The sequence below is a fragment of the Homo sapiens genome, chromosome 1 (genome assembly GCF_000001405.40).
Source record: "Homo sapiens chromosome 1, GRCh38.p14 Primary Assembly".
Lineage (NCBI taxonomy): Eukaryota > Metazoa > Chordata > Mammalia > Primates > Hominidae > Homo > Homo sapiens.
The window spans coordinates 157,916,726-157,925,532 of record NC_000001.11 but is presented as its reverse complement, the minus strand read 5'-3'; the positions used below and the strand labels follow the sequence as shown (position 1 = coordinate 157,925,532).

The window sequence follows — 8,807 nt, the reverse complement described above, 5'->3', positions numbered from 1 at the left end:
GCTCTCTGCCACCGCTGCCGCTGCCACCACCTCCCCCATCACAAGACTACAGTGCCCATAGGGCCTCTTACCCTCCTCACGCCCTGTTTCTTGTCGTCACCTTGGAGCATCCTCGCTGCTACAGAAGGAAACTGACCCCAGCAGGGAGCCGCCGGCTAGCAGATTCAGACCATGCCGCTCACCTCTCACAGTGACATTCAGCAGCGTGCTCTGAACGGGGCCGTAGCTGTTGTCTGCTGTACAGTAGTATCCTCCTGCATGGCTCTACCTGATGGCAGGGGGCTCCGACTCTGCTCTTGGGGAAGGCTGAGTTTTCCTCCCCAGACTCTCCTGCGTGTCCTTTCGGTGCCAGGAGAACGTGGTTTCCCCTGTGCCTTCAGCCACGGAGCAGACAAGGACCAGCGTCTCCCCTTCAACCGCCTGGCCCCCTGAGGGCTGGGTCTCCAGGAGCACCCCAGACACAGGGATCCCTATGTAAAAATGAGACCACAGGGAGGGGCCAGCTGTGAAGGAGGGCAGGGCTGGATGGAAGCCAGTATCACCTGCTGGGCATTAAGGCAAGTGGGGTTGGTGGAACTAAATGTTTGGGTAGAGGGTCCACCTCACTTGCCTGAGTGTTTTTAATAGCGAGAGAGCACGCTGAGGAACATTACACAGGACCACCTTGCTGTTTGATGCTCCATAACAATCCTACCCTGCACTTCCTCCACATTCTTTTGCCCTCTGGAATGACCGCAGCCCACAGAAATCTCATCATCTCCTGATCTCCAGATGTACATGGGCAGCAGGAGTGGTAGGAAGAGCATGGGTTAGGGGGATGGACTCAGTTACTATCTCTGGATCTCAATCTTGCTAAATCAATTGCTATTTCTGGTTCTCAGTTTTCTCAAGTATAAAATGTGAATAATCATGTCTACCTTACAGAGTTCTCATGGAGATGAAATGCGATACAAGTACCCCTCACTTTGGAGAGGTTCAGTAAATGGTAGCTATTATTGGTACCACTCTTCACTGGCACAGTTGAGATTGGAAGTGTAGCAAGGTGGTTAAAAGCACATACCCTGGAGCCTGAGTGACCAGGTTCATATTCCAGCTCTATGTGTTGAGTTACCTTGGGCAAGCCACTTAACAGCTCGATGCTTTCTCTTTCCTCATCTGTAAAATGGAGATAATAATACTACCTACTTTACAGGTGCTATTTGTAGTACTGTATCATAGGGTTGCTACTAGGACTAAATGTTAAACTGCTCTGAACAGTGTCATGTACAGCTGTAAACATTCCTTAAATCTTCTCCTCTCCAGATATTTATGAGTATCAAAGGGGTTATTCCAGAACTGAGAATAACAGCTTGGGTTCAGACCTGGCATTTAAGCCTTTGGAAAAATGTTTGTCATTCTGCTAAAAAGCCTAACCCCAAGGCCTGAACCTTCAATCATTAACTTCAGTGTAATGAAAGACAGTGTCATACATGGGGGAAGAATGGAATACAGAAAAAGGGCATGAAAGTTGTTTAGATTGTCTTCCCAGCCTATCCCTCTAGCCATGAGACCATGGAGGAGGGGTAGCTCCCAGGGTCCTGTCTCAGAAGAGAGGCCATCCTCTCACCAGATCTACATCCACAGTCCTCAAAATGGGATCCATAAGGAAGTGGGGAGAAGGCATTGAGAACTTCCAGATTATATTAAACACTTTTTAACCTTAAAAGTTTTCTGTTTTGTGTATATTTTAGCACATTCACAACATTTCAATGTAGGATTTGTATCAGTGTCTGTATAATACATTGGAGGTACATGCTCAAAATTTTTGTTCTCAATAGCACAAGTGATCAGATAAGTTTAAAGACAACTGTTCTACACCTTTTAACCACTTTGAAAGTTCTACCATTAGAATAGAAAGTAGGTGTGGACAGTGGGAGCCATAAGTATTGATAACGAGAAAGCAGTGCTAAGCCCTCTTGGAGGCCAAATGTTCTCTTCCTTTATATTGAGACTGGGCAAGATTTTCAGTGAAGATGAGGAAGATGCAATCAGTTTGATTTAGGAAATATTTGAGGAATAAGATTTTTGTAATCAAATTGATAATAACGACAGGGCTAGAGATAGATAAGAAATGCTGGCACCAGTTATTACTGAGTCTGGAACAAGGATTTGACTATAATTGCCTGGATAGGTGGCCTTTAACTTTTGACATTTACTTATAGGCTCATTCCCTAGTGGAAGGCACAATTGTGCATATATACACATTTTGTCATAATTTCAGGGAGTTTGCTGGATCTCATGACACTGCTCCAGAGACCACCCTCCCCCAGCCACTTTAAAAACACTCTTGCTTAAAATTACAAGCTAGGTACACAAGCATCACCTCCCTTATAGGTGATTATAGAATGATTATAGACATGATTAAAGAAGAAAATATAACTTTCCAGTCTAATATGAAACCAAGCTTTCTGTATTATATTAGAATTCCAGTAAAAAGAAGAAAAACAAGTTAGGTATTTGATAGTTTACAATCCAAGTAAAAGATACAGGGGCATTCTTATTTAATGCAGAGCATCTCCTTAGCTCTCTAGTTGCCACTCTAGTATAAATATGTTTCCCATCGTTGCCTCCAGTGCTTCCAGTGGGGGCCTTTGAGCACCTGTGGCCAGAACCAGGAGAATGATATACTTTCCATTCACAGTTATCTTCTCCTTTTCTGTCCCAAGGCTCAATAGTAAAGGGATAATTCATTGCCTTGAGAGAGTCAGGGCATGGTCTTCTTGCCCATCAAGCAGGGAGGTGGCAAAGCGGAGAAGAATGTGATACTGGAGTGTCCCTGCCATGGCCAGGACTAGAGGGAGGTGAGTAAAGCACTGGACCCCAGCTCATTTCACCCTAGTTCTGGCCCAAATCCCTGCAGCCCACAGCCAAGAGGCTAGAACTGGAAGTACCTCTCATACCTAGCAGAGTGAGTGTGATTCCTAGAGATCTAAAAGAACAAAGAGAAGAGCCACTCACCTGACTGGAAGGTGACAGGAGCTATGAGGGAACAGAGTCAGAGAGGTTACCACAGGACCAGGATTCTTACTCTCTTTAAAAAGTTGTAGCCCTTTGAGAACTTTCCAACAATTATCTTTCCCCAACTTTCTTTCTGTTTCTTCCCCCCACCTCCACTTTTTCTGCCCTTATATCCTACCTCCCTCATTTCTTCTATTCTTTTCCCCTCCTTCTCTTCCTCCTTCTTCCTTCTTTCCTTTCTTCCTTCCATCAATAACAAACAACGCTCCTACGGAGCCCACTGCAACCTCTGCCTCCTGGGTTCAAGCGATTCTCCTGCCTCAGCCTCTAGTGTAGCTGGGACTACAGGTACGCGCCACCATGCCAGGTTAATTTTTCTATTTTTAGTAGAGATAAGGCTTCACCATGTTGGCCAGGATGGTCTCAATCTCTTGACCTTATGATCCGCCCGCCTTGGCCTCCCAAAGTGCTGGGATTACAATCGTGAGCCACTGCGCCTGGCCTTATCTTCTCTTTTTAAAGTATCCTATTTTGTCTGAGATACATTGCCTGCCTGGGGGGCAACATGAAGCCCAGAAGGCCCATGTAGGAAATGGAAGTGTCCTCTCATATTTCACTGATACCATTTATCCTTCCATTCCTATTCTAGGCCTAACATTGTGTTTGAGTCCATATAAGAGAGACATATTTATCAGCAGAAGCCATGATCTCCTCTACGGTTAGCAAGATTTGAAGCCTCTCTGAAATCTAAGTCTAGGGAAGTAAGAGTTCAGCCAGATATGTAGTAGCTTAGAGTGGAAGTGGGGGTTAGGGCAGAGTAGGATTTATGTGGGCTGGAACTAGAATTCACCCTGACAGAAAATTTCTTTGATGTCCTTTTAATAAATTTTCCAGTTTTCCTAGAGATCAAAGCAGAAATGGATGTTAAATAAATGAGAAGTAATGAATATTTAGTAAAGAGATTCATAGTTTTTTGTTTTTCCTAGGAACCCTGCTCTGCTCAATACCCATTTGCATAGTATCTGTTGTTACGGAGTTAGGAGCTGAAGCCCACCGTACTCATCCCAGCAGAAAGAATGTGCTCAAGAATAGCTTCCGGGATGCCCAGGGACAGGTGATTCTGCCCACCTCAGTCCTGCTCTAGCATTCTACCCACCAATGACCAGAAGTAGTGTCCAGAGCAGCATAAGGGCTAAGGCAAGAAGTTCTACCAGCAACTGTCAGGTGCAGCTTAGGTCCTTAGGGCAGCTGTTTGTCTGCATGGACCGTGAAGCCAGGATTTGGCCCTGTGGTTCAGTAGGGATTATATAAAATAGAAAAAAGGAAGTAGAAAAGCTCTCTGTCAATCAGCATTTTCCCCACTCCCATGGATAAGGAGAAAGTAAATTGTTTCTCCTTTACAGACTTGCTCAGATGTTTGTGTATTGATCAGAAATGCTCCATAAAATGTCAAGTGTCTTTATCCTATATCTAAGCTTTCCAACTCATTTTGACTTTGTGGAGAACGCCGAGTTCTGGGCCTTCTGAGATTCAAGTCACTTGCTTGGTCTGTTTCAAAGGGAAAACCCCTTTACCATTCAAGATGCATGATTTGTTACACAATTTCTAATATTGTGACACCATGTCAATACCACATCAATGCTGCTCTGCAGAGGTCTACTCAGACTACATCAAGAGACAAGCAGGCATTTGTCAGAAATGATGATGGGATTGGTATGATATTAGAGGTGTTGTGTGTGGTCCAGGGACTCAGGAAGACACAAATCCTGCCCAACTCAAGTCACCTCTGCCCATGAGATGTTCCAGCCAGATACATGCAGAAAGGATGAGGTAATATGCACACCCTATGGCTACCTGAAGCTTTAGCTCCAAACTACAGTGCAGTGATGTAAAGGGCCTTAACATGCTCAGGAGAGATCAGGTCCAAAGTTCAAGATTAAATTTTAGAAGAGATCCCTTGTATCAGGCTGGAAATAGAATCCACCCTAATGAATAAAAAATGACTTTAATGAAAGGACTACCTAGAATGATATGGACAGGACTTAAATAATAGACTATAGACAGTGAGCCATCCAGAGACCAGCCGTGGTGGAAAGCTGCCACCACCTTCAGAGCTGAAGGAGCAAGGAGAGGAAGGACTGCTACAAAAGCCCAGTGAGAATTGGAGGGGCCACCAGGTGGAATTGCGATTGTGGAAGACATTGCTCCTGCCAGAGATAAGGCACCAAGCTAAGCCAACAGGTGGTGGGAGAGTGGGAAGGGGGGAAATACCTTGACCTCTCTCCTTCCTGCTGTCTGGTCCCTCGTTGGTGCCTCCTATTGATGGAGCCAAATTGTAAGCCAGAGAGGCTGGTTGATGCAGTCCATAGGGCATAGCTCCTAGGGCACAGAGCAGCAGAGGATGAAGGAGAATGGATGTGGTGGGGGAGTGGGATGGGGTGGCTCTAATGCAGAATATCCAGTGTAGTCCTCAATGTGGAAAAAGAGATTACACCAGTGCTAGGAGCTCCTTCCCAGCAAAAGCCTTTATTTTCCCATGTTGGAATCTTCCCATTCCCACCCAATGCTGTCAGTGTGTGGGGTGTTTAGGTGAGAATAAGATATTAAGGTCAGGCAAACATAATACCTTGATTATCTTCAGTCAGCCACTCTAGAAAGGAATACTGACCAAATAATAAACACTGCAAATTAACACTTTTTTACTAGCAATTTCAGACCAGAATTCTACAGGTAGCTATTTTTAGTCTAATCTGTAGACCTTCATGACTTGACAAACTTCTTCTCCCTCAGTCATTCTACCCCGGGAGTAAAGATGTGAGCATAAGAGGTGAAGCAAACCAGAACTTGCCTAGGCTACCAGGTAAAGTCTTTCTCTGCTGATGGGTTTATATTTGGGGTCTGTGGGGAAGCAGAAGCAGGAGGGTTGACATATGAAGGTACACACTCCAGGCTTGCCTTGCTGCATGAGTGCGAGAAGAGAGGGTACTGAAGAAATCACATCCATATGCATTTTATCTTGTAATACCTTTGTTGTTTCACCCTCTAGAACAGTGGACAAGTAAATGTTCCCAGAAAGCTTTCAATCAGAAGTAGAAATTTAAATGGTTTAAGTCAAAGGCATGTTTGAGAAAGAACAAGATTCTGTGACCAAGAAGGGAATAAATTGCAGGACTAGAAGCAGAGAAGAAATGATTTTACTGGGATATTTCAAACAAGAACCAAGGCTTAAACTATAAGACATGGGTCTGTCCAGCAGCAGATGGACTCCAAATTTGGTACTATCTGGAATCATGGCTCATCATTCTGAACATGCTCCTTTGAGATTGTGTTATAATATACAGACACTTTATCCTTTCAAATACTACAAACATACAAAGGTAAAAAGGTTTTTTTCAGGCAATTTTGGAGGTTCAAACACTTTCAGATGTGGTCCAGGGAAATCAGATAAGAGCCACTAGCCTATTTCTGTACAGCAGCAAAGACAAGGCAGGATAGAGATGATCAATTATATTTTCAAAGGACAGGTTCCAGAAAAATATGACTTTTGCAGTGGATGGTAAAAGCTGACTCTTTTCTTTGTTAATTATGTTAGAATTTTAAGCCATGAGGGGAAACATGGTGAGCTTTTGCCAGTTTATTAACCAAGCTGAGAATATAGGATTTCTCAGATTTCAGATCTGCTATGGCTTCTGTTCTCTAGAGCATCCTGCATCCTCTGGAGAGGACACCCCACTGGCGAAATCAGAAATCTTGGAGTATCTTTCAGTTTGCCGTAAAGGGATTCTTCCAACATCTTTCAACTCCACAGATACCCTTTCCTCCATAGGTGTGTTGTCTTCCTCCCAGCTTTGGGCTTTCCCAGGTTGAGTGAGGATTTGTTCACCCAGGAGAATGGGCAAGTGTCAGGGCAGGGATTGATATATCCTCAGAACAGGAAGATCTCACACCGGGAAAAGCAGGAGAGCTCATCCCTGAAGCCTTTGGCAAAAGGGGAAGGGCAGGCAGTGGTCACTGAAATGGGCATCTAATAGTTTTCTGTCCTCTGATACCATAGACCCAGAGGTTTGAAAGAATAAAAAGAAGAGGAACCCACATAACTAACTACATACACACTAGTGGGTGAAGATTCTGAGATTAGCCGAGGCAGGACTTCTTATACTTTAAATCTTGCAATCCTTTGAGAAATTTTATGCATGCCCTGCTGTCTTTCCTTCATGTCTCCAGTCTGGAGGAAATTGCCTGCAGAATGGGAAGAGTCCTGAGGTAACATCCCTTGGTGGTGAGCCATGTTCAAGAGATCTGTCACTCCTACTGGAGCGGGGAGACTGTGGAGCTTCAGGCAACAAATCCAATCAAATGTGAAACAACACTTAGTTAGTGCAGAGATACATTAGAAAATTGATGATTTAGGATATTATTAAATTGCAGTCATGAATATGACCCAGTTATAGTCACTAACTGCACCCTGGCTCTCTCCATATGCATGGTAGGCTGATGGCCAGACCTAGCATACAGCTGGGAGATACCCAGCACGACCATCACCAACCTGCCAAATGTACCACAGATTCTAGGCTGATTTTTCACAGGCTGTGTTAGACCTAGAGACACCACCCCACTTCGCTCTTTGAAAATCATTCTATGTCAGTATTAACAACATTTCTATGTCAGTATCAGTGATCAGTCATGTGGGGTTCAGGATACCAGTGAGATGCGCCATTGGAGGCCAGAAAGTCTGCCACCCGCAGTACTGCTGGAGGTCCTAGGAAAGATTACTTTTCCAATCAAAGGTCCCCAAGGGACCTCCAGCAGTACTGCGGGTGGCAGACTTTCTGGCCTCCAATGGCGCATCTCACTGGTATCCTGAACCCCATATGACTGATCACTGATACTGACATAGAAAGGTTGTTAATACTGACATAGAATGATTTTCAAACAGTGAAGTGGGGTGGTGTCTCTAAGTCTAGCATAGCCTGTGAAGGATCAGCCTAGAATCTGTGGTACATTTGGCAGGTGGGTGATGGTCGTGCTGGGCATCTCCCAGCTGTATGCTAGGTCTGGCCATCAGCCTACCATGCATATGGAGAGAGCCAGGGTGCAGTTAGTCACTATAACTGGGTCATATTCATGACTGCTATTTAGTAATATCCTAAATCATCAATTTTCTAATGTTCCTCTGCACTAACAGGAACTCCTGTCTTGCCCCAGAACTGAGAATGATCAGGAAAATGTACAAGTGTAAGCACAAAGACTCTGATTCAGGCTGCAGAAGCAGGTGCATGTATTGATTGCCCAGGAAGTTGAGGTCATTTTGGAACAGGGAATACCCAAGCACTGCTCCCAAGAGTAGAGATACCCAACACAAAGTTAAAGGATTTAAACTGGTGTTCATGGCCATCTTTCTGCTGCCAGGGAGGGTAAATGGGAACATGTCAGCATGTTCCAGCTGTCTGGGAAACCACCCCAGAACATGTCAGCAAGTTGCAGTTGTCTGGGAAATGACCCCATAGTTCTAAAAAAACCCCTAACATCTATATGGGGAATGCCTCATTCTAGCATTTCATTATGCTGATTTAGTCCCCCATCAAATAAAAAAGTCAACTCAGGCAAGACAAAAGTCTCCTTCTCCCAGGACTGGTAGAACCATAAGGAAATATGGAAGTCAAGATTTCAGGAAGCTATGTAATGTGGTACTAGACACTGGGCTACTGTAATTTTCAGTGTTCTTTATTATTAAAATCTGGTCTGATTCCATCACAAGGTCTGAGGTTATGGCCTCTGGGGATTAAATACTGAGTTTTGCACAGACCCAG

The 8,807-nt window shown here is 44.4% G+C and overlaps 1 pseudogene; it reads right to left on the bottom strand.

The window, feature by feature from the left end:
• Positions 183–470, bottom strand: LOC100996284 (Fc receptor like 4 pseudogene; annotated as a pseudogene).